We start from the raw sequence: 26,717 nt of genomic DNA, 5'->3' as shown, positions 1-26,717 counted from the left end.
CTTTGTGGTCCTGTGCCCTCCATGTTGCCTTCCTGTGTTTTTTTTTTTTTTTTTTTTTTTGAGGTGGAGTCTCACACTGTTGCCAGTCTGGAGTGCAGTGGCACCGTCTCGGCTCACTGCAACCTCTGCCTCCTGGGTTCAAGCGATTCTCCTGCCTCAGCCTCCTGAGTAGCTGGGATTACAGGCACATGCCACCACGCCTGGCTAATTTTTGTATTTTTAGTAGAGATGGGGTTTCACCATGTTGGTCAGGCTGGTCTCGAACTCCTGATCTCGTGATCCAACCGCCTCGGCCTCCCAAAGTGCTGGGATTACAGGCATGAGCCACCACACCCAGTGGCCTTCCTGGTTTTTTGATTGAGAGTCTGAAGTTCCTTTTCCCTTCTTTCCCGTATATTCCACCCTTCAGTGTTTTCTACTTTAGCTTTGTATCTCATTTAGATTCAAAATATGGCAACTATCTTGAGTAAGAAGCTTGTAGTTGTTGTCAGTCATTGCTCTAGTGTGACTTTGTCTCCTAGGCATCACTAGATTACAGGAGATTTTACTCTGTCTTTCCAGTCCAGACCTCTATCCTTTGGCCTGCTTCAGTATTCAATAAATACTTCATAGTAAAGAATCAGTGATGCTGAGTTCAGGCTCCTCTGAGTTCAGGCTGAGGTTCAGGTTCAGAAGTTCAGGCTGCCTTCTCTCAGCCTTTATTCTCTCATAGTCATGCTGTACTATGTGACTTTCAAAAGACCCACAAATTCTTTCTTTTTCTCTTAGAATAATCTGTGACAATACCAGTCTTTAGTCCTTGCCCAGACTTAGTAAATGGCTATGCAAATGGAACACAGCTTGTAATCTCAATTTACATAGGAAGGTCTCTTCTACTTTTTGGAATTTAGCATAAAAATCCTCCTATTATTACCAATCTCTGTTATCTTTCAAACAATAATTTTAAAATTTTACTATTTCTGAAATTTAATGCAGAGGTTTATCAAAATGTACTGTTTATCAGTAATAGTTTATCAAGACTTACTCATTGGTGTAGCTATTTTGATTCCAGATAAAATATGTTAAAACAAAAAGCAATTTAGAAGTAAATAGTCATGGTCGGTCAATAGTTTTAAAATGTTTAATTAACCAGAATAATATGATAATTTAAATTTGTATGCACAGCTCCACATATATGCAAAGCAAATATTGACGTAAATAACTTTAAGGAGAAAAAGACAAATTCAAATGTAAAGATAAACCTATTCTATTTATTTAGATAGATCTATTCTATCTTAAGAGATCGAATAGAATAAACCACCTTATAATGTTGCTTACTAAGAAAAAATGAGAAATGGCTTAAATGAAAAATTTCAGAAATGAAAATAAGGACATCTCTACAGATTCTGAAAGCAAAAGGCAAACAGTTTGCATTATTAACAAGTTTGAAATTTGAAAACTTAGGTGAAATGGACAACAAATCTCATTAAAGAAAAAAAATCCAGAGTTGCTATCTTATCTTAAAATGTCCACTTTTCAAAAAAAAAACTTATTAGATATGTAAATATCAGCTATTAATTTTTTTTCAAAGAATTAATGGAACTTATGATTAAATAATTAAAGAAAAACATGCTAGCAGTGAGCCAATAGAGAATCTTAATAGATAATAGAAGCAAGCAAAGAAACAAAAGAACAAAAATAATTCTAGAGTTGTAAAGTACAAAAACATAAATAAAAAATTTACTAACTTGACTCAGGAGATTTGAGAGGGCAGAAGACATAATTAATTAACTGAAAGATAGATCAATAGAAATCATTGAATATGAGAAACACAGAACAGGATTGAACAATACGAGTAGTTTGAGACCTGTGGGTCAATGTCAAGTATTTTAGCATATGGATAATAAAAGACCCAGAAGGAGAGGTGAGAAAGAAAGGAGCAGAAAAAATATTTGAAGATATAATTGCTGAAAACTCTCCAAATGTAATAAAAAAAACCACTATATCCATGAATCCATGAAGTTCAGTGAACTCCAAGGTGAATACATTTAAGGAGAATTCACACTTAGATACATTATAGTCAAACTAGTGAAAGAGAACAAAGGTGACATCTTGAAAGCAACAAGAAAAAGGAAACTTATATAGTGGAAACAGTATCACTAATTGTAGGCTTCTCATCAGAATCAGTGGAGGTCAGAAATTAGTGAAAAGACATGCAAAAGGCTGAGAGTAAAAAATTTCAAGCAAAAAAATCTATATTTAGTAAAACTATTATTCAAAAATGAATATGAAATAAAAATATGTCTGGATCTTTTACCATTGCATGGTAAAGGAAAATTTTTTTCTGAGACTAAAACTTGAGGTCAATCTTTATTTGCAATATGCTACAACATGGGAGACAATTTAGGGATTGAATGCTCCATTGCTCCATTCCTTTCTGTGGCTGAGGGGTTTACTTGTTGCTGTTTTGTAACCAAAGTTTTTGAAGATCAGAACCTACATGCAGTTTCACATGTCTGAGATCAGAGAGTATACGAAATTTCATATGTCAAAATAGCAGTGAGCCTTGAATGAAATTGAAAAATTCTGAATTTGTATGAAATTAGGAGGTTTCATGCCTCCTGAAACCTCTTGATTCTGGAAAAATTCTGAATTTGTATGAAATCAGGAGGTTTCATACCTCCTGAAACCTCACGATTTCATACAAATTCACAGTTTTTCCAATTTCATTCAGTTGGAAATTCTGAATCCTTTTCATACAAATTCTGAATTTTGTATGAAATCAGACCAAGAAATGTTAATCTCTTGGTCTCTGGGGTTACAGGTCAGTCAGGCTTGAGTTTTAAGTGAGTTATTGCATGGGTATTGAGCAAGTAGAATTTTATAGAGACTTTGACTTGACAGAAATGAATAAAATCACAAAGTATGTGAAATGGTTTTGCCAAAATACAAACAGGCTGACCCACCTTCCTTTGAAGTAGGTTGAAACCAGTGAATTCTTTTTAAACTTCCTGGAACACTGTCTTTATGTGATTCTCAACAACTTAACTACTTTTGATTTGTTTGTAGCTTAAAATACTAGGGAATTCCGTTTTGATATCCCATTAGCATCTCTCTTCAGGCAAGGGAGATATCACTGAGGGGTTCGTAAGTCCTATACCCAATAAAGATATTAATGCCAATGGCAATGATGATAGCAATGAAAGCCAACACTGCTACTCCTTATGTGTCAGAAAACATTTTAAGAATTTTATGCACATTAATCATACAAATTCTATGCTTCTTTATGTTATTTTAGGGTAGGGCTTTGGTTTTCCAGATGAGGAAGTCAGGACACTAAGCCTATGACCAGGATTCATGTTCTAGCTAAAAAATGAGACCAGGAAGATGAGAGCCAGACATTTTTAGCTTTTGTGTTGGGACCCAGATTCTCTGCTGTATAATGTGGAATTTCCCAAATGCAAGAACAGGATTTAAATATTGGTATGAGAAAAAAGTCATGCAATAAGCCAAAAAGAGAAAAAAAAAACCACCAAAAAACCATGAGAAATGTCTATTATATCCATTCTTCATGTCCCTTCTTTATTTTCTATGATGTATAAAGAATCGCCAACAAATTTGATGATCTCATCTACAAATACTATTTTTCCCTGACAATGGTATTCAGCTCATTTAGGGTACTATATGGTATATAGGTGTTGTTTAAATTATTGTTATTAGACAGAGTTTCAGATTTGTCCTATTAATCATCAGCTTAGGATATTTACTTGAAATGTTAATCTCTTGGTCAGATAAAATTAGAATTTAAGATGAGTAGGAAGAGGAGGGAACATCAGTAAAGTAGACAAGAAGGGAATAAGTTTCAGAGAAGAATAAATATACATAGCAGCAGGTGGTCATGAACAAGGGTAGTATACATTGGATTGGTAAGAGAGGCAGTGAATCTACTGGAATTTAAGGAACTAGTTTGACAAACTTTTCCAGGTGTGAACAAACTATTGTTGAAGAACACTGATCACTGATGCAGTTTCTTGTCTTTGCTTCAAGTTATTAAAAAAAATAGTTTCTGTGTGGCAGTAGCCAAACTTATCAATTATATCCAGTCTAGGCACTGGAAGAAGAAATAGATGGTGACACCACGTAGGGTGTTACAGGAAATGGGAACAATAATGTCTTCTGATAAGAAAACTAAAGTGTATAGTAGGCACAATCAAGATCTTCGCAAAGCTTTCCTATTTACACTAGGCATATTGTATGCACAGGATCTCTTTGTGTTTTTATAATCTCTTCCGGTTTCTTTTCACATACCATAGAGGCAGCCCCAAAAGATACACAAATAATCCATGGAAATATTGCCTCTGTTGCTTATTTTCAGCCTAGTTTTACTGTATATACTCTTGATGCAGACAAAAAGAAAATGGTGTCCAGCATTTCTTTGATGACTTACCTATCATGACATTTCATGTTTAACATGGGACTCAAACCAGAAGTGGGGTTTTCATGTAAGAATCCCCTCCCCTAGTCATGATCTTACCATATTTTGTGATTCTTTGGAAGTGGAAGATAATGTTGTTAGCATATGCTTGAGGGTGATAATATGGATGTAAGGAACAAGAAAAAATGTGTTTTCTAAAATATGGCTCCTAGAGGGACTTCAAAAGTATGCTTTCTCAGCATCCAAATTTGTTTGACTTATTTGAAACTTTAAAATACTTCCCTGTTAGCTCAAACCCTGATTGGTCAGGCTTTGTTTTTGCATTGAAATTAGCTTTTCTAGAATAGTAAGATTCACTTAACCCTTTTATAGAAACAGGTACCAAGCTAAGTACTTTACTCATTTTAACTAATTTAATCCTCAGAATAATATTATAAAATAAGTACTATCATTTTTCTCACTTTTCACATGCAAAAACTCAGGAACACAGAGGGTAAGTGGCTTGCTTAAGGTCACATAGCTAGTAAGCAGCAGATATTTGGAACCTAGGAAGTCTAGTGCCAGAGTCCACATGCTTAGCCATAACACTTTCCTGCCTACTGGGAAATCATTAACGCTTAAAAAGTTTTTGTCTTTATACATAATCTAGGTGAATAGATTTCAAAGGAATATGTTATAATTTGAGGAAAATGAGTTTAAAAAAGTTTTCACTGAGATAGTTAGCTAATTGTTTAAGGCATTACTTGTCCAACAAATATATGGCACTTATATTTCATTTAGTTTAGAATTAATTATTATATTTATTAATATCCATGTGGGTTCATGTTGATTAAAAATGTTACTATGACTGCAGTTCATATAAAGAACCATAAATGATGAAAGAGGAAGCCTTCTAACTTAATTGTAATCTATTAAAGATGAAATAAGCAGTCTCATTTTGTAGAATAAGTAAAACAATGTTCACTTACAACAATAAAGCAGGAATAGTTCTGCTGCTTAGGAAAACAGGTAATCATTGCTCTCATTCTTATAAGCAATTTGATTTTCAGGATTAAATTGAATATATTTGATCTATATCATGAAAGCTATTTTTTAAAGAATATGATCCTAAAGTTCATACTTGTGTTTATTTTACTTTAATTTTGGCAAGTAAATTTACATTTTTATTAGGCAGGCTAGATTTAAGAATTCCTTTTTAAGTTTCTATTTTTAATGTTTAATTAATAAAAGTATTAGGATTTTTCTATTCATTGCTTACTGTAACCATCCATCTGGTATCTTCTTGGATATTTTCAGTATAAGATATATTTATGCTCATCTATTAAATTTTTTTTCAGGTTATTCCAGCGCCAGGCAGCTATGATGTTCACAAATCATATGAGATGTCCCAAGTTAAGCATAAATATATGCCACCTCGTAGTTTAGTGGCTAAAAGAAAACATGCCTCTTTTCTTAGTGCAACTCCTCGGTGCCTAGAAAAAGTGACTGATGGGCCAGGTAAGTCTAGAAGTCCTTATAAAGCTATGAGGAAAAAAATTCTAAGGTTTCCATATTAAAATATCTAGAATCATTGATAGGTTCTTGGAGACTGAAAAGTTAAGCAAAATAATGTATAACAAAACCATTTTTCTCATCAGTGCTGTAACAAAATAACATTGAACTAAACAACATTATTTGAGGACCTGCTGTGTTGTACATCATTTTGCTTAAAGTTGCAGTTTCCGAGAAACCATCCATGATGTTATGTGAGGACTTACTGTGATTGTAAACAACATTTGCATTTACCCTGACTCTCTTAAGTGTGTAGGTCAAAAACCAAAAAGGAAAATACTTATTCAGTAAAAGACTTAAGTTATTTTTTTCAAACGTAAGAAGATTTTGGGGGAGGGTGGGTTATGTCTCTTAATTTTACCAAAGACAATTTTACCAGTTTTACTAAAGCTAATAAAGTCATTCAGCATTCTATTAGGGAAAAAAACAGAACTCATAACATGCTAAAGTTGTTAGAGGAGAAAGGCACTTTACCCTGATTTGGAAAATCAGTCATATAGAAGATATACATCAAGGCAGTTGTACAGAATTATTTTTATTTTTTTTCAAATATAAAGAAAGAAGCTATATTAAAAAGATAAACATTTATTTGAGCATTTACAATTCCAAAATTAATTTTAATTTTTAAAATTTGGATGGTCTTAGCTATCAGTAACAGCATTCTTGTTCTAAAGCAGTAACACTTGCTGGAAATGAAGATAAGTCAGTTATTATGCTATTTTACACAGGAAAACTAGATAGAGAACAGGAACAATCATTTTCAACAATAAATTACAGGTGTATTCCCACTAAACAACCATACCATTGTAATGAATTTTTATGAGAATATGGAGAAAAAAATGAAACAGAATGAAGAAACTCTTTTTTCCAAAGTTTTTAATGAAAAACTAAAACAGGAGAATATAACTTATCCAGCAAATAATACTTGGACAGCCTGAGATCCAGAGGTTTGCTTTGTTTCTCATTGCCTTTTAAGAATCAGGCATATTGCCAGCTTATAGATCCATTTTAAGTTGAAATTTCACTTTTTATTTTCTTTTTCTTCTCTTGAGTTATTACACCATGTTGATTTTGTGAGGTTTTAGCTTTGCTGTGAAGTAGGATTCAAACTCCTGTAGTGTGTCCCTGATTACACTCAACTGTGGTCACCCAGGGAAATAAGTTCTTTGAAGTTTCAGCACCATCACCATCATCAAGCACAATCAATTAAATAAGAAATAATATTAATCTCAGGGTCTTATGAAGTAAATTATGTTGAGTATCATATTTCCTGATATTTTTTGTCTGTATTCCTTTACTCTCCTCTGCATAAAAATTCTTACCGATGGAATGCAAAATAAGAGTTTCAGTTAAGTGCCAGGATTGACACTATGACTTTTCATTGCTTCAGTATTTAGCATAGGGCAAGTAAATTAGCTAATTGTTTCATTAGTTTCTGTTTTTCACAGTTGAGATATTTGCCACCTACTTGCCTCATGAGAATACAAAAGATTAATGAGAAATATATTTCAGAGTCATTTTCAGAACCTTTGAAGCTCCTTTGAAGTATAAGATCTTATCATAATATGAAACATGTTTCTTCCTAATGTTAAGCCAACACTAACTTCTAAAATAATTTGAGAGGTAAGGGAAATGTATTCATTTGGAAGACAGTTATTATTTGGAAGTCAAAGACATAGTGACTGTCAAAGTCACTGTACAACTGCAGAGTAGACAGCTTGTGAAATGAAAAGAGTTTATCATGTTGGTTAATACCAGTAATTCATGAAGTTTGCTATCGTGCATCTTAAAGTGGCCCATACTTCAAAGGGATAATAACAGAAACCCCATGTGCCTCTATTATCAACACATTGGAAAAAGCCATATGGACCTCTGAAGCTATTATCTGATACCATGATATATGAAATTTTGTATCTTCTGACATGTAGATATTGTAGTAATTATGGAATTATCCTTTTAAATTTAATCTGCTACCTTAAGGTATACCATCCAAAATTTTGCTCTAAAATAGATTTAGTAGGTGCCCAGGGCCAATTCAATTAATATCATGCCGTATTCTGGTAATTGAAGATTAACTTTCCTTTGTCTAGACTCTGTTACATTGATCTAATCAAGGACAAGATTTAAGTGCGATATTATCAAGTCTCTAAATAGATTCCTAATTTTTAAATAGAGTTTTACGTTTTTTTTGATCAATATAACCAAAAAATTGTCTATTCTTTTTAATATTAATATATACATATTAATATTGTTTTTGCTTTAAAATGAAAATAGCCTGTTTCTGTTTGTAATTTACACCCTAACTTTTGCTAGGGACAACTAATACATGACATCATTTGATTTTTAAAACATCATTGTATAATCAAAAGATTCAGTGATAATAATTCTATTTGTTATATGGTGTGGGGAATGTTTATCTTATGAATGATGGCCTTTCATATCATAATGTTCTTAGTAACAAAATAAGAAAAGAAGTTTCTTTACCCTATTATTTCTCTTTTAAACATTGGTAATTTTGTTTTGCTTTAATAGCAATGGAAAGACCTTTTTTGGTTGGATGCAGAATTTCTTATACATCAGATAAAATTATTTAGTATTGTTATATGTATATATGTGTGTACACATAAATAAAACTATAACATTGTCTGACTTAATTTGGAGAACATGATATGCATATTTGTTACTTGGGTCATGACATTACTAGAAAGAATGCTGTGCCTCATTGAACTTAAAAAACGCACATCGTTTTCTTTCTATCTATATAGAGAATTATTGGAAAATTAAAATTGATTACTGGATATCTTACATTTGTAGGTAAAAGTGTTAAGAACTGAAGTTGATGCATATGTGAATAATTGTAATCTCATGGGATTTATGGAACTTATAAGACATTCAATAACTCATGTTATAGCCATGTATTTATTTCAAATTATTTTACATCTTTATTTAGAAATATGAAAATGGTTTTATTTATAAGTAAAGTTTTTTGGAATATACTTAAGAGGGATAAAACTCATTTTCATTAGTCTAAATTAAAGAAGGAAATAGTACATCTAGACTCAGTATATTGTATACCCTTTAGTGTTGTGTGACTAATAAAACACGTTAGAATTGTCTAATGAAGAAATAATTAAATGAGGCTTATCACATTATAAAGCAGTCTTTTCTTATTACACCAAGTTTTAATTCATGGATATGTAATTGATTTTGTGATTGATCCAACTCCGGTAAGTGAAATTGTTAAGTGGAAAAGTATTTAAGCATCACTTTATCTCTCACATTGACCTGTTTTTAGTCATGGGTTGGGGGCAGGGGTATGCTCAACAAATTTAAAAAGAAAATAGATATAAACATTGTTGAGAGTGTGGAAAATTGAGGAGCCTCATACATTGTGTTGAAAGTATAAATTTATATCAGTGTTTCTTAAGGGCAGGTTGGCAAAATGTTTCAAGCATTCATGCCATTTGACCCTAGAATTCTGCTTCTAAGATCATCCTAAGGCTATTATTGATACCAAAACTTAAACATCAAGGACTTCATTAAAAAAGTAATAAAAACTCCAAAATGTCCTAAATGGAAAGAAAAGTGGAGTTTAGTTAATTTTGATATATCAGCTGACTAGAGTCCTATGAAAATATTAGAAATGTTATATGGTTTTTTTAAACATGGGAAGATCTTGGTAACAAGATAGGATTAATCTTTTCAATCAATTAACAAATATGTATTGAGACTATCTTATGTATTAAGCACTCTTCCAGGGACTTGTGATACAGTAAATATTCTTGTTTCATAGAGCTTAATATTAATGTTAATTAATAATATAATTTATTAACTAAATATTAATTTATTGTTATTAATTATCATTTATTAATTAAATATTGTTAATATTAATTATTAATTAATGAATAATATATGCTGTGATACAGTAAATATTCTTGTTTATAGAGCTTCATTTCAAGTATAAGACATTTAATAAATGAAGAGGTAGATTGACAGATTAATAGAGGAAGAAGGAAAATCAAGCATTTTTAAATTCCATGGGGACAAACAAGAGGTAAAAGGATTGAGAGTTTAGAGTGGATAGTGAATCAATTCCAAATAATGTTAATGGGGAAGGCTTCACTGAGAAATTAATAAAGGCATACCTTGGCAATATGGCTTGGTTTGGTTACATACCACTGCAGTAAAACTAAGATTGCAATAAAGCGAGTCACATGAGTTTTTTTGATTTCCCAGTACATAAAAAATATGTTTAGACTATACTATAGTCTATTAAGTGTGCGATAGCATTATGTCTGAATAAAACAACGTAAATGGCTTAATTAAAAATACTGAATTGCTAAAAAAAACTGCTAACAATCATTTGAGCTTTCAGTGAGTCTTCTTTTTCTCCTGGAGGGTCTTGCTTTGATGTTGGTGGCTGCTGAATAGTCAGAATTTTGGTTACTAAAGGTTGGGGTGGCTCTGGAAATTTCTTAAAATAAGACAACAATGAAATTAACCACATTGATTGACCCTTCCTTTCATGAGATTTCTCTGTGGCATCTGATGTGGCTTGATAGCACTTGACCCACAATAGAACTTCTTTAAAAATGGGGTTAATCCTCCCTAACCCTACAACTGTTTTATCATCTAAGTTTATCTAATATTTGAAATCCCTTGTTGTTACTTCAGCAGTGTTCACAGCATCTTCACCAGGAGTAAATCCCATTTCAAGAAACCACTTTCTTTGCTCATCCACAAGAATCAACTCCTCATCCTTTCAAGTTTAATCATGAAATTTTAGCAATTCAGACATCTTCAGGTCCCACTTCTAATTCTAGTTATTTTGCTGTTTCCACCATACATGCAGTTATTTCCTCTTCTGAAATCTTGAACCCCTCAATTCATGAGGAATGGAATCAACCTTTTTCAAACTTCTGTTTGTGTTCATCTTTTGACATCTTCCCATGAATCATGAATGTTCTAATGATATCTATAATGGTATAGCCTTTCCAGAAGGTTTTAAATTTACTTTGCCCAGATCCCAGAGGAGTCACTCTGTATGGTGGCCATAGCCTTACAAAATGTATTTTTAAACTAAGACTTGAAAGTTGAAATTAGTCTTTGAACCATGGGCTTCAGAATGGGTGTTGTATTAGCAGGCATGAAAATAACACTAATTTCCTTGTGCATCTCCATCAGAGCTCTTGGGTGACAGGTGCCTTATCAACAAGTAGTAACATTTTTATTTTGTAAGTGAAAGCAAGTTTATTAAGAAAATAAAGGAATAAAGAATGGCTACTCCATAGACAGAGCAGCCCTAGGGGCTGTTGGTTGTCCATTTTTACAGTTATTTCTTGATTATATACTAAACAAGGGGTGGATTATTCATGCGTTTTCTGGCATTTCTTAGAACTGAGAATTCCTTCCATTTTTAGACCATATAGGATAACTTTATGACATTGCCATGGCATTTGTAAGCTGTTGTGGCACTGGTGGGAGTGTATCAGTGAGGATGACCAAAGGTCACTCTTTTCACCATCTTGGTTTTGGTGGGATTTAGCTGGCTTCTTTACTGCATGCTGTTTTATCAGCAAGGTCTTTATGACCTGTATCTTGTGTCGACCTCCTATCTAATCCTGTGAGTTAGAATGAGCAACTTAACTGGGAATGCAGCCCAGCATGTCTCAGCCTTATTTTACCCAACCACTACTTAAGATGGAGGCACTCTGATTCAAATGCCTCTGACATTATCCCCCTCCCTTTTATAAGAGAACCCTTAATCCTAAGGGTTTGAGAGGGATGAAGATCCATCTTCTGTAACTTCAGGCTGAACAGGGGCAATAATATTGCTGCCTAACTATTGGGTCTCTTGCATTCAGGGTAGAGAGGAGCTCAGTCAGAAAGTGTAGGTATGGTCAGGGCAATACATAACTCTTCAGTACCAACAAAAGGTGAGATCCATCCCTCTTGTTTCTTCTGAGCAGCAGCCAGAGATCACTGGTTGAACACAGGAATAAGCAGGGTTAGTCTAAATTGTATAAAAAACTCGAAAACAACTGATGAGACTAGCATCTAATAACATGTGTACCATATTTCTTGAAACATATTTTTTTCTCTCTCCAGTCTCCCATTTTTAATAAAGACAAATCATAGTACGACCAATTTGCTTTATTATATTTGGCCTGATTATCTGTATAAAGTGCAGCACGAATAATAATAATTTTTTATGATACTTTAAGTTCTGGGGTACATGTGCAGAGTGTGCAGGTTTGTTACATAGGTATACTTGTGCCCTGTTGGTTTGCAGCATCAATCACCCCTTCATCTACATTAGGTATTTCTCCTAGTGCTATCCCTCCCCTAGCGCCCCACCCCATGACAGGCCCTGGTGTGTGATGTTCTCCTGCCTGTGTCCATGTGTTCTCATTGTTCACCTCCTACTTATGAGTGAGAACATGTGGTGTTTGGTTTTCAGTTCGTGTGTTAGTTTGCTGAGAATGATGGTTTCCAGCTTCATCCATGTCCCTGCAAAGGACATTAACTCATTCTTTTTTATGGCTGCATAGTATCCCATGGTGTATATATGCCACATTTTCTTTACCGAGTCTGTCATTGATGGGCATTTGGGCTGGTTCCAAGTCTTTGCTATTGTGAAGAGTGCCGCAATACACATACGTGTGCATGTGTCTTTATAGTAGAATGATTTATAATCCTTTGGGTATATACCCAGTAATGGGATTGCTGGGTCAAATGGTATTTCTGGTTCTAGATACTTGAGTAATCGCCACACTGTCTTTCACAGTGGTTGAACTAATTTACACTCCCAACAGTGTAAAAGCATTCCTATTTCTCCACATCCTCTCCAACATCTGTGTTTTTCCTGACTTTTTAATCATCACCATTCTAACTGGCGTGAGATGGTATCTCATTGTGGTTTTGATTTGCATTTCTCTAATGACCAGTGATGACGAGGTTTTTTGTTTTTCATATGTTTGTTGGCTGCATAAATGTCTTCTTTTGAGAAGTGTCTGTTTATATCCTTCACCCACTTTTTGATGGGGTTATTTTTTTTTATTGTAAATTTGTTTAAGTTATTTGTAGATTCTGGATATTAGCCCTTTGTCAGATGGATAGATTGCAAAATTATTCTCCCATTCTGTAGTTTGCCTGTTCACTCTGATGATAGTTTCTTTTGCTGTGCAGAAGCTCTTTAGTTTAATTAGATCCCATTTGTCAATTCTGGCTTTTGTTGCCATTGCTTTTGGTGTTTTAATCATAAAGTCTTTCCCCATGCCTATGTCCTGAATGATACTGCCTAGGTTTTCTTCTGGGGTTTTTATGGTTTTAAGTCTTATGTTTAAGTGTTTAATTCATCTTGAGTTAATTTTTGTTTAAGGTATAAGGAAGATATCCAGTTTCAGTTTTCTCCATATGGCTAGCCAGTTTTCCCAAAACCATTTATTAAATAGGGAATCTTTCCCCATTGCTTTTGTCAGGTTTATCAAAGATCTGATGGTTGTAGATGCGTGGTGTTATTTCTGAGGCCTCTGTTCTGTTCCATTGGTCTATACATCTGTTTTGGTACCAGCACCATGCTGTTTTTGTTACTGTAGCCTTGTAGTATAGTTTGAAGTCAGGTAGCCTGATGCCTCCAGCTTTTTTTCTTTTTGCTTAGGATTGTCTTGGCAATGCGGGCTCCTTTTGGTTCCATATGAAATTTAAAGTAGTTTTTTCCAATACTGAGAAGAAAGTCAATGGTAGCTTAATGGGGATAGCATGGAATCTATAAATTACTTTGGGCAGTATGGTCATTTTCACGATACTGATTCTTCCTATCCATGAGCATGGAATGTATTTCCATTTATTTGTGTCCTCTCTTATTTCCTTGAGCAGTGGTTTGTAGTACTCCTTGAAGAAGTCCTTCACATTTCTTGTCAGTTGTATTCCTAGATATTTTATTCTCTTTCTGGCAATTATGAATAGGAGTTCACTCATGATTTGGCTCTGTTTGTCTGTTATTGGTGTATAGGAATGCTTATGATTTTTGCACATTGATTTTGTATCCTGAGACTTTGCTGAAGTTGCTTATCAGCTTAAGGAGATTTTGGGCTGAGACGATGGGGTTTTCTAAATAATCATGCCATCTGCAAACAGAGACAATTTGACTTTCTCTTTTCCTATTTGAATACCCTTTATATCTTTCTCTTGCCTGATTGCCCTGGCCAGAACTTCCAATACTATGTTGAATAGGAGTGGTAAGAGAGGGCATCCTTGCCTTATGCCAGTTTTCAAAGGGAATGCTTCCAGTTTTTGCCCATTCAGCATGATACTGGCTGTGGGTTGGTCATAAAGAGCTCTTATAATTTTGAGATGCGTTCCATCAATACCTAGTTTATGGAGAGTGTTTAGCATGAAGGGTGTTGTCAAAGGCCTTTTCTGCATCTATTGAGCTAATTATGTGCTTTTTTTTGGTCATTGGCTCTGTTTATGTGATGGATTACATTTATTGATTTGCATATATTGAACCAGCCTTGCATCCCAGGGATGAAGCCAACTTGATCATGGTGGATAAGCTTTTTGATGTGCTTCTGGATTCAGTTTACCAGTATTTTATTGAGGATTTTTGCATCAATGTTTATCAGGGATATTGGCCTGAAATTTTCTGTTTTTGTTGTGTCTCTGCCATGTTTTGGTATCAGGATTATTCTGGCCTCAATAAATGAGTTAGGGAGGATTCCTTCTTTTCTATTGTTTGCAATAGTTTCAGAAGGAATGGTACCAGCTCCTCTTTGTACCTCTGGTAGAATTTGGCTGTGAATCCATCTGGTCCTGGATGTTTTTTGGTTGGTAGGCTATTAATTGCTGCCTCAATTTCAGAACTTGTTATTGGTCTATTCAGGGATTCAACTTCTTCCTGGTTTAGACTTGGAAAGGTGTATGTGGCCAGGAATTTATCCATTTCTTCTAGATTTTCTAGTTTATTTCTGTAGAGGCATTTATAGTATTCTCTGATGGTAGTTTGTATTTTTGTGGGATCAGTGGTGATATCCCCTTTATCATTTTTTATTGCATGTATTTGATCCTTCTCTCTTTTCTTCTTTATTAGTCTGGTTAGTGGTCTATTTTGTTGATCTTTTCAAAAAAGCAGCTCCTGGATTCATTGATTTTTTGAAAGGTTTTTTTGTGTCTCTATCTCCTTCATTTCTGCTCTGATCTTAGTTATTTCTTGTCTTCTGCTAGCTCTTGAATTTGTTTGCTGTTGCTTCTCTAGTTCTTTTAATTTTGAGGTTAGGGTGTCAATTTTAGATCTTTCCTACTTTCTCTTGTGGCCATTTAGTACTATAAATTTTTCTCTACACACTGCTTTAAATATGTCCCAGAGATTCTACTACATTGTGTTTTTGTTCTCATTGGTTTCAAAGAACATCTTTATTTCTGCCTTCATTTCGTTATTTACCCAGTATTCATTCAGGAGCAGATTGTTCAGTTTCCATGTAGTTGTGCGGTTTTGAGTTAGCTTTTAATCCTGAGTTCTAGTTTGATTGCACTGTGGTCTGAGAGACTGTTTGCTATGATTTCCATTGTTTTGCATTTGCTGAAGAGTGTTTTACTTCCAATTATGTGGTCAATTTTAGAATAAGTCAGATGAGGTGCTGAGAAGAATGTATATTCTTTTGATTTGGGGTGGACAGTTCTGTAAATGTCTTTTAGGTCCACTTGGTCCAGAGCTGAATTCAAGTCCTGAATATCCTTGTTAATTTTCTGTGTCATTGATCTGTGTAATATTGACAGTGGGGTGTTAAAGTCTCCCACTATTATTGTGTGGGAGTCTAAGTCTCTTTGTAGGTCTCTAAGAATTTGCTTTAGGAATCTGGGTGCTCCTGTATTGGGTGCATATATATTTAGGATAATTAGCTCTTCTTGTTGCATTGATCCCTTTACCATTATGTAATACCCTCTTTGTCTCTTTTGACCTTTGTTGTTTAAAGTCTGTTTTATCAGAGACTAGGATTGCAACCTCTGCTTGTTTTTGCTTTCAATTTGCTTGGTAAATCTTCCTCCATCCCTTTATTTTGAGCCTATGTGTGTCTTTGCACGTGAGATGGGTCTCCTGAATACAACACACCAATGGGTCTTGACTCTTTATCCATTTTTCCAGTCTGTGTCTTTTAATTGGGGCATTTAGCCTGTTTAAATTTAAGGTTAATATTGTTATGTGTGAACTTGATCCTGTCATTATGATGCTAGGTGCTTATTTTGCCCCTTAGTTGGTGCAGTTTCTTCATAGAGTTGATGGACTTTACAATTTGGTATGTTTTTGCAGTGGTTGGTACTGATTGTTCCTTTCCATGTTTAGTGTTTCCTTCAGGAGCTCTTATAAGGCAGGCTTGGTGGTAACAAAATCTCTCCGCATTTGATTGTCTTTAATGGATTTTATTTCTCTTTTGCTTATGAAACTTAGTTTGGCTGGATATGAAATTCTGTGTTGAAAATACTTTTCTTTAAGAATGTTGAATATTGGTCCTCACTCTCTTCTTGCTTGTAGGGTTTCTGTAGAGAGATCTGCTGTTAGTCTGATGGGCTTCCCTTTGTGGATAATGCGACTTTTCCCTCTGGCTGCCCTTAACATTTTTTCCTTCATGTCATCCTTGGTGAATCTGAGGATTATGTGTCTTGGGGTTTCTCTTCTCGAGTAGTATCTTTGTGGTGTTCTCTGTATTTCCTGAATTTGAGTGTTGGCCTGTCTTGCTATGTTGGGGAAGTTATCCTGGATAATATCCTGAAGAGTGTTTTCCAACTTGGTTCTATTCTCCCCATCACTTTCAGGTACACCTAACAAACGTAGATTTGTTCTTTTTACACAGTTCCATATTTCTTGGAGGCTTTGTTCATTCATTTTCATTTTTTTCTCTCATTTTCTCTTCTCGCTTAATTTCATTAAGTTGATCTTCAATCTCTGATATTCCTTTCTTCCACTTGATCAATTTGGCTATTGATACTTGTATATGCTTCATGAAATTCTTGTGCTGTGTTTTTCAGCTCCATCAGGTCATTTATGTTCTTTTCTAAACTGGTTATTCTATTTAACAATTCGTCTCACCTTCTTGCAAGGTTTTTAGCTTCCTCGCATTGGGTTAGAACATGCTCCTTTAGCTCAGAGGAGTTTGTTATTACCCACCTTCTGAAGTGTACTTCCGTCAATTCATCAAACTCATTCTCCATCCAGTTTTGTTACCTTTCTGATGAGGAGTTGTGATCCTTTGGAGTAGAAGAGATGTTCTGGTTTTTGGAATTTTCAGCCTTTTTACGCTGGTTTCTCCCCATCTTTGTGAATTTATCTACCTTTGCTCTTTGATGTTGGTGACTTTTGGATGGTGTCTCTGAGTAGATGTCCTTTTTGTTGATGTTGATGCTATCCCTTTCTGTTTGTTAGTTTTCTTTGTAACAGGCCACTCTGCTGCAGGTCTGCTGGAGTTTTCTGGAGTTCTACTCCAGACCCTGTTTGCCTGGGTATCACCAATGGAGATGGCAGAACAGCAAAGATATTGCCGCCTGTTCCTTCCTCTGGAAGCTTCGTCCCAGAGGGGCACCCACCGGATGCCAGCCACAGCTCTCCTGTATGAGGTGTCTGTCGACCCCTACTCGGAGATGTCTCCCAGTCAGGATACACAGAGGTCAGGCACCCAGTTGAGGAGGCAGTCTGACCCTTAGCAGAGACTCAAACGCTGTGCTTCGAGATCTGCTGCTCTCAGAGCCATCAGGCAGGGATGTTTAAGTCTGCTGAAGCTGTGCCCATAGCCACCCCTTCCTCCCAGCTGCTCTGTCCCAGGGAGATGAGGGTTTTATCTATAATCCCCTAACCAGGGCAGCTGCCTTTTTTTCTGTTCAGAGAGGAGGAATCTAGAGAGGCAGTCTGGCCACAGCAGCCTTGCTTAGCTGTGGTGGGCTCCACCCAGTTCGAACTTCGTTTACACTGTGAGGATAAAACTGCCTACTTAAGCCTCAGCAGTGGTGGATGCCCCTCCCGCGATCAAGCTCGAGCATCCCAGGTCAACCTCAGACTGCTGTGCTGGCAGCAAAAATTTCAGGCTAGTGGATCTTGGCTTGCTGGGCTCTGTGGAGGTGAGACCCACTGAGGCAGACCACTTGGCTCCCTGGCTTCAGCCCCCTTTCCAGGGGAGTGAATGGTTTTGTCTTGCTGGAATTCCAGTTGCCATTGGGATATGGAAAAAAAAAAATCTCCCGCAGCTAGCTTGGTGTCTGCCCAACCAGCTGCCCAGTTTTGTGCTTGAAACCCTGGGCCCTGATGGCATAGGCACTGGAGGGAATCTCCTGGTCTGCGGGTTGCGAAGGTCTTAGAAAAAGTGCAGTGTCTGGGCCAGAGTGCACCATTCCTCACAGCACAGTCCCTCATGGCTTCCCTTGAGTTCAGGAGAGAATTCCTCAACCCCTTGCACTTCCTGGGTGAGGCGATGCCCCAGCCTGCTTTGGCTCGCAATCCATGGGCTGCACCCACTGTCCACCCAGTCCCAATGAGATGAACTGGGTACTCAGTTGGAAATGCAGAAATCACCCACCTTCTGCATCGGTCTCACTGGGAGCTGCAGACCAGGGCTGTTCCTATTTGGCCATCTTGCCATCAAATCCAAGAATGATTATTTTATAGAGGCTTTTTAAATTGGCTTTGATGGAACTTTGTTCCATAAAAGGAATATCAGATAAAATTTTTCTTTTTTTTAAAGCCAAGTCTGGTCATGGGTTTGTACCCTTAAATACCTATAAGTTAGGTAAATTCCTCTCCTCTTGAGGTCCCAGGATAACTTGGGGCTCCCGGGCCTGTCAGAAAGTGACATTCTTTACTTACCACAGGTTAGCAACTCTGGATAGAGATTGTATGGGCAAGGTATGAGGCCATTTTTCTTAAGGGTCTTTTATTGGCTTTATAAGTCAAGTTTGATTCCGTAAAGGAAAGTGTGCCATTCCAGTCAAAGCCTTGGTAAAATAACCAGTTTCTCCAATTGTGTCCTGTTACAAAAGAGAAAATATTCTTATTGCACTTATGCAATAACTATATTGCCATAAGTTAAGAATACCCACGGCTTGTTTTCCAATTTTGGAGAAATCAGGTGGAGAGAAACAAATATGCCTCAAATTTGGTTCACAGGAGTATACTTTACTTGATTGTTAAAAGCTGTCTAGGCCGGGTGCAGTGGCTCATGCCTGTAATCCCAGCACTTTGGCAGGCCCAGGTGAGTGGATCACGAGGTCAGGAGATTGAGACCATCCTGGCTAACACGGTGAAGCCCCGTCTCTACTAAAAATACAAAAAATTATCCGGACATGGTGGTGGGCGCCTGTAGTCCCAGCTACTCAGGAGGCTGAGGCAGGAGAATGGCGTGAACCCGGGATGAGGAGCTTGCAGTGAGCCGAGATCATGCCACTGCACTCCAGCCTGGGTGACAGAGCAAGACTCCATCTCAAAAAAAAAAAAAAAAAGCTGTCTATAGCTCAAAAGTTTCCTTAACTCTGAAAAACAAAACAAAGGATCAGCAACATTTTAAGCAAAGAGTCAAAAAGATTACTTTAGACTTCTATCTTAATTTAGTCCATGCAGTTTAACCCCTGTTTGATGTTCAGGAACATTTCAGCTGTGCCTGAGATTCCTCTAAGTTTTTTCCTCTATTTTACTGTTATAATCTCCAATGTTATCAGAAACCTGCATTCAGGATCACCTGTCAAATTCCTGTAGCTGATTTTAAAACCTCCTTTTGAAGGGGACCAAAACAAGACAACAATTGTCTGTGAATGACAAAATGTCTTAGGGCAACCATAGTCAAAAACATGATTGACAAAGAAATTTGGTTACATCTGTGGCATACAATGATTTTATGTAACAATTACAATTATTACTGATAATATACACTGTGTCTTATCAGAATTATAGGAGTTTCCCATTATTTTGGAATACATACCAATAACATATTTATACAAATACAGCCCAAAGAAAGCCAAACACCATTTAATATTTGACAATAGTTCCTGTATCATTTTTATACCAAATAATACAAATTTCACTTTTGTGTTAGTGCATTATTGATGTCAAATTCAATTCTTAATAAAACCTTGTCGACAAATATATTCAATCTTAATCAGTTTGACCATAAGGTAAGGTTCTTATAAACCTTTTATAACCTTTTACAATTTTTTTAAAGAGCAGATCAGTGCTGTAAGTAACACTTGTTGTGCTTTTATTTCTATGTTCAATTTATGGAAGAACTGAATAATACCCCTTTAACTTTAGCCAATATGTTTGCACGCAGAATCTCTTTACAATTAATTTTTTATAAACTTTCCACAACTTGTTCAAACCTTTATATATATTTTTCTATCTCACATAAAACAATCCTTTAACCCTCTAAATGTAGACAAGAAATTCACATTCCCATGTCTTCTTATAATCTTTTACCAAAAGTACATTCTACTTTCCTGATAGGCCTTGCATGTAGAACTGTTTTCTTAGTAGTCTCAACTACGTGTTACACTGTTAACTCTTAGCAACTTTTTCTTTTGGTGAAAAACTTGGTTAATAAGTGATTGTAATTATGTACCAGGTGTGGAGCCTATGACATCAGACAGAAGTGTAGATAAAAGCTGACTCTTCCCCGCATAGCTAGAGGGCAAGGCTCTCCACATGACCCCAGGCCTTATCTATTATAGAATCTGATGCTCCAAACTAAGTAAACTGAATAATTGAGAAAAGTCAAAGAATCAGTTTATGACCCTAAAGCATTTAGCAAACTAATACATCACCTGCCTAATTTAGACCAAATGTCTAAATTTTGAAGACTTTTATTTTACCAATAATCTTTAAAACTTTATTTATTTACCAAAGATATGTTACATGAAGTAAAAGGCATTACACTTTTTATTTTTCTGATAACATACTTGATTTAAGCTCTTATTAATTTTAAACCAATGAATCAAAGCTCTTTTATATTTCACATACACAATATATATAAATACCCAGACAGACAAAAGATTCAGTAGTTGTAAGATTTTTCATTTACCAGTTTCTTAATTGGATTACTGGCTTTAGAGTGGAGCCCTTGGAGGAACAGGGCCAGGAGAGCATACAGTTTCTAGGGCCTAATAAGCAGGCACAGTTGGGAGGTAAAACAGATTTCTAGAATTTAAGGGTCCCATTTTTATACCAGATCTTGGATCTCCTAAAACAGGGAATCAATGCATCTCCCACAGGAGTCTTATCTCTCAGTAGGGGTCGGGTGGGGACATTTCCATAACTTCTAGGTGTCGAAGAGCATGCTTCTCTGATCAAATGTGCAGAGCTTAGTATTTCCCCATAACTGCCATTAGCTATCCCCAAAAGTAAATTTCCTACCTAGTTATTACACACCAAAGCTCTCTCATAATGTGAAGTAATTTGTGAACTAATTTCTGACACCCCCAAAAGTTAAAGTTGTCAGATAATGCAATGCAAATCAGAACAGAGCCTTAGATTTTGAGTGGGCTCTTATCCACTTCTAATTTCTTGGATTTCATGAGGAAAAGAGAAGTTTTTCCTAAAATGGGGTCTGTGGTGCCTCTTCAGTTTTTTTTACCAAGGAGCCTCAGGCTGTTAGAGCTTGAATATCCACTTTCAATTAAGCTGACTTTTAAACATAGCACTCTTAAAAAAAAAACTTTTAAATTTCTTATTACCTGATTTTAGCCAGGCCAAACAGCCAATATTTCTGGCGTTTGAACCTTACTAAAGGTAACCTCCGATATGCTCAGAGAAAGGACAATTCAACATGGTTTTTGGAGGGGAAGAAAATTAACAAATGGTAAATGTCATGCAGGTATCAACCCAGAAAGGACTCATTCCCTAAGCCAGAAATTGAACCTAGGCTGCCCCCGTAAAATGGCAAAACTTTAGCTGCTGAGCTACAGCATTGGGCAGTTTCCAATGCTCTTCCCAGAAGGAGTCTAGAGCAGCCAATTTTGAGCTTGTGAAGTCTTTTAGCAAGATAATTTTTAGGGCTGACTATTTCATGAACCCCCAAATTTCTGTCCTCCAGATGGCAGAGACCAAGAGAAAGTAGTGCCACGTGGTTACAAGGTCAAGCTCCCAAGGACATAACTGACCAGTTTGCTGTGCTGTCTTGAACAGAGGGCTTATGGGGCCCTAAGCCCCTGTTCTATCCTAAGGTACCCCTCTTTCTGACAGAAAGATACAGAAAGACAAATTCATAGCACAAAATACAACAGATTTGCTACAGTTTAAGGCTAGCCTCACAAATCCTTTTTCCAATTAATCAGAACTTTACAGAGGAGATAAACCATGATTTTTACCATTCATTCAATTTTGAATGATTTTCAAAGTTCATTCATTCAACTTTGAATGAATGGTAAAAATAACTGTTTATGAGAGAGAGAGAAAGGAAGGGAAAGGGAGAAAAGCATTGCCTGCAATGGGATGGGGAAGTCTAGGAGCTCAGGGAGGCCAGAGAAAGACCCATTCACTGCAGCCACACTGAAAAGTTTAGGCAGCTGCTTGTCAGTCACACAGGGATTTTTCCCAGCAGCCCCGTCAACTCTCAAATTTCCCCTTTTAGGGAGAAAAACTCCCCATGTCCCATGATCCTGTACATGCCTAATTCTGCCACCCATAGCCGTCAGCAAAGAGTGAAAGACAGATTAATCCAAAGAGAATAGCAATTAATATCCCATAGTGCCAAACCTGTTGTTAGCCAAGAGGGACTTTACTGAATGGGGCCTCTCATCCCCTAAATCTTAGGAAGGACTCTCACCTCCCTAAGTTGGGTCTCAAACCCAGGTTCAGTCAAGTGTCCTTGCTTTTAGTAAGAGGGGCCTTTAACTCTCTCTGTCTTAGGAGAGACTCTAAATTTCCTAGGTTGGGCCTCGGATCCAGTCCCATCTTTTACCTGGGTAAATTCATCCCACTTACCCGGAGTTAGCCAATTGGTGTTTCACACAGATGATTTTCCTTTGGGTCGGGTGTCTCTTCAGTATCATCCCTTCTGTGGTTCGCCAGAAAGATATTACCAGAAAGGGGTCCAAATCCAGACCCCAAGAGATGGTTCTTGGATCTCACACAAAAAAGAATTCAAGGTGAATCCACAGAGTAAAATGAAAGCAAGTTTATTAAGAAACTAAAGGAATAAAGAATGGCTACTCCATAGGCAGAACAGCTGTCAATGAGTAGTAATACTTTGAAAAGGAATCTTTTTCTAAGTACTAGGTCTCAACAGCAGGCTTAAAATATTTAGTAAACCATGCTGTAATCAGATGTGCATTCACCCAGGGTTTGCTTTTCTATATCTACAGCACAAGCACAATATATTTAGCATAATTTTTAAGGATCCTAGGATTTTCAGAATGGTAAATGAGCATTGACTTCAACCTAAAGTCACCAGCTGCTGCATGAGCTCCAGAGTCAGCCTATCCTTTGAAGCTTTGAAGCCAGGCGTTGACTTCTTTCTAGCTCTGAATGTCCTAGATAGCATCTTTTTCTATTATAAGACTGTTTTGTCTACATTGAAAATCTTTTGCATAGTGTAGCCACTTTCATAAATGATGTTAGCTTGATCTTCTGAATAACTTGTTGCAGTTTCTGCATCAGCACTTGCTTCACCTTGTATTTTATGTTATGAAGACAGCTTCTTTCCTTAATCTTTGTGAATCATCCTCTGCTAGCATTCAGCTTTTCTTCTACAGCTTCCCCACCTCTCTTGGCCTTCAAAGAATCAAAGATAATTAGGGTCTTTCTCTGGGTTATGCTTTGGTTTAAGGAAATGTTGTGGCTGGTTTGTTATTTAATTTAGACCACTCAAACTTTCTCCAGAGATGTAATACCCAGTTTTGGAGATGGTGCCTGGTGGGAAGAGTTTGGGTCATGGGGGTAGAGCCGTCATGGCTTGGTGCCATCCTTGTGATAGTGAGTGATTTATGAGATCTGGTCATTTAAAAGTGTGTGGCACCCTTACCCCCTACTTGCTCCTGTATTTGCCACATAATGTGCTTGCTCCTGCTTTGTCTTCTGCCATAAGTAAAAGCTCCTTGAGACCTCCCCAGAAGCCAAGCAAGTATCAGCACTATGCTTGTACAGCCTTCAGAACACTGAACCAATTAAGCCTTTTTATGTATTACCCAGTCTTAAGTATTTCTTTATAGCAAGAATAGCCTAACACAGAAAACTGATACTAAGAAGTTGGGCATTGCTATAAAGATAACCTTTAAATGAGGAAGGAACTTTGGAACTGAGTAACAGACAGATGCTGGGAGAGTTTGGAGGGCTTAGAAGAAGACAGAAAGATGAGGAAAAGTTTGGAACTTCTTAGAGACTGCTTAAATGGTTGTAACCAAATTCTGATAGTGATATGGACAGTGAATTCTGGGCTGACAAGGTCTCAGATGAAAATGAGAAACTTATTAAGAACTGGAGCAAATGTAACTCATGTTATGCCTTAGCAAATAACTTGTCTGTATTTTAGGGTATCTAGCAGAAAAAATTTCTAAGCAGCAAAGCATTTAAGAAATGGCCTGTTTGCTTCTAACAGCCTATGCTCAGATGCAGGAGCAAAAAAGTAACTAAAAATTAATTTGAATTTACATTTAAAGGGGAAGCTGAGCATAAAAGTTTGGAAAATTTGCAGCCTGGCCATGTAGCAGAGAAAGAAAAAGCATTATTAGGAGATGAATTCAGAGGGGCTATGGAGCAACCACTTGCTGGAGATATTAGCATGGCTAAAAAGAGTCAAGTGCTAATAGCCAAGACATGGGAAAAAGGCCTCCAAGGCATTTCAGAGATCTTTTTGGCAGCTCTTCTTAGAATGACTTGGGGGACCAGGCCTGGGGCTTGGCTGCCTTGTGCAGCCTTGGGACACTACTCTGGCATTCAGGCCACTCAGACCAAGCCTCAGCTCATAGGGCCTCAGGTATAGCTCAGGCTGTAGTTCCAGATGGTTCAAGCTGTTAAGTCTGGAAGCTTCCACGTGATGTTAAGTCTGTAGGCACACAGAGTGCAAGAGTGAGGGAGGCTTGGCGGCCTGTGCTTAGATTTCAGAGGATATATGAGAAAACCTGGGTGCCCAGGCAGAAGCCTGCTATAAGGGTGGAGCCCTCACAGAGAAACTCTACTAGTGCAATGTGGAGGGGAAATGTGGGGTTGGAGGCCCCACACAGATTCCCCGCTGGGGCACTGCCTACTGGAAATGTGGGAAGGGGGCCATTGTCCTCCAGATGCCAGAATGATAGATCCACTTGCAGCTTGTACCCTGCACCTGGAAAAGCTGCAGGCACTGAACTCCAACCTGTGAGAGTAGTTGCAGGGGCTGTATCCTGCAGAGACACAGGGGCAGAGTTGCCCAAGGTCTAGAAAGCCCACTCCTTACTGCAGTTTGCCCTGGATTTAGGATATGGGGTAATAAGGGATTATTTTGGAGCCTTAAGATTTTATGACTGTCCTGCTGGGCTTCAGACTTGTGTAGAGGCTGGAGCCCTTTTCTTCTGGCCAGTTTCTCTCTTTTGGAACAGGCATGTTTTCTCAATTCCTGAACCTCCATTGTACCTTTAAAGTAACTACCTGTTTTTGATTTTATAGGCCCATAGGTGGAAGGAATGCATCTCCAGATGAGACTTTGGACTTGGGGCTTGGGACTTTTGAGTGATGCTAAAATGAGTTAAGAGTTTGGGAACCTATTGGAAAGCATGATTGTAATTTGCAATGTGAGAAGAACATGAGATTTGGGGGGCAGAGGGCGAAATGCCATAGTTTGGATGTACCCTCCAAATCTTATTTTGGAGGTGGGGCCTGGTGGGAAGTGTTTGAGTCATGAAGGAGGATCCATTCTGGCTTGGGGCTTTCCTTACAATAGAGAATGAGTTCTCATGAGATCTGGTTTTTTAAAGTGTGTGGTAACCTCTCTGTGCCACCTTGTGCTGCTCCCACCATGTGATATGCCTGCTCTTGCTTACCTTCTGCCATGAGTAAAACTACCTGAGACCTCCCCACATTGAAGCAGATGTCAGTGCCATGCTTCTGCAGCTTGCAGAACTGTTAAGCAATTAAGCTTCTTTTCTTTATAAATTACACAGTCTCAGGTATATTTTTATAGCAATGGAAGAATGGCTTAACAACTTTCTTTTGATTTGTGTATTTACTGTGGTAGCATTTTTAATTTTCTTCAAGAACTTTTCTATTGCATTTACACTTGGGTAACTGTTTGGTGCAAGAGGTCTAGCTACTGTCGTTTTTGCTTTCAACATGCTTTCCTCACTGAACTTAATCACTTATAGCTTTTAATTTAAAGTGAGAGACCCCTGACTCTTCCTTTCACTTGAACACTTACAGGTCATTGTTGGGTTATTAATTAGACTAATTTCAGCACTGTTATGTCTTATGGAATAGAGAGGCTGGAGGGGAGGGAGAGAGATGGGAGAGTGTCTGGTCAGTGGAGCCATAGGAACACACACCACATTTATAGATTAAGTTTGCCATTTTATATGTGCATGGTTTGTGTTGCCCTCAAAGAATTACAATAGTAACATCAAAGATTGCTGATCACAGTTCATCATAACAGATATAATAATAATAATGGAAAAGTCTGAAATATTGAGAAAATTACCAAAATGTGACGTTGAGACATGAAGGGAGCACATACTGTTAGAAAAATGGCACTGAGAGCTGATAGACTTGCTAATGCAGGGTTGCCACAAACCTTCAATTTAAAAAAAAACAAAAAAC

The 26,717-nt window shown here is 37.0% G+C and overlaps 1 protein-coding gene across 7 annotated transcripts in view; it reads left to right on the top strand.

Moving 5' to 3' along the window:
- Nucleotides 1-26,717, top strand: part of STPG2 (sperm tail PG-rich repeat containing 2) — a 702,228-nt gene that overhangs the window by 296,793 nt on the left and 378,718 nt on the right. For all 7 annotated transcript variants that reach the window (XM_047450118.1, XM_017008049.3, XM_011531886.4 and 4 more), the window contains one exon: nucleotides 5,752-5,911. In XM_047450118.1, the coding sequence (XP_047306074.1) occupies nucleotides 5,752-5,911 (160 nt within the window). The remainder of the gene's footprint in view (nucleotides 1-5,751; nucleotides 5,912-26,717) is intronic.

The sequence above is a fragment of the Homo sapiens genome, chromosome 4, assembly GCF_000001405.40.
Source record: "Homo sapiens chromosome 4, GRCh38.p14 Primary Assembly".
In the NCBI taxonomy this organism is placed as follows: Eukaryota; Metazoa; Chordata; class Mammalia; order Primates; family Hominidae; genus Homo; species Homo sapiens.
The sequence above is the reverse complement of the archived record's forward strand: the minus strand, read 5'-3'. Positions and strand labels throughout refer to the sequence as shown.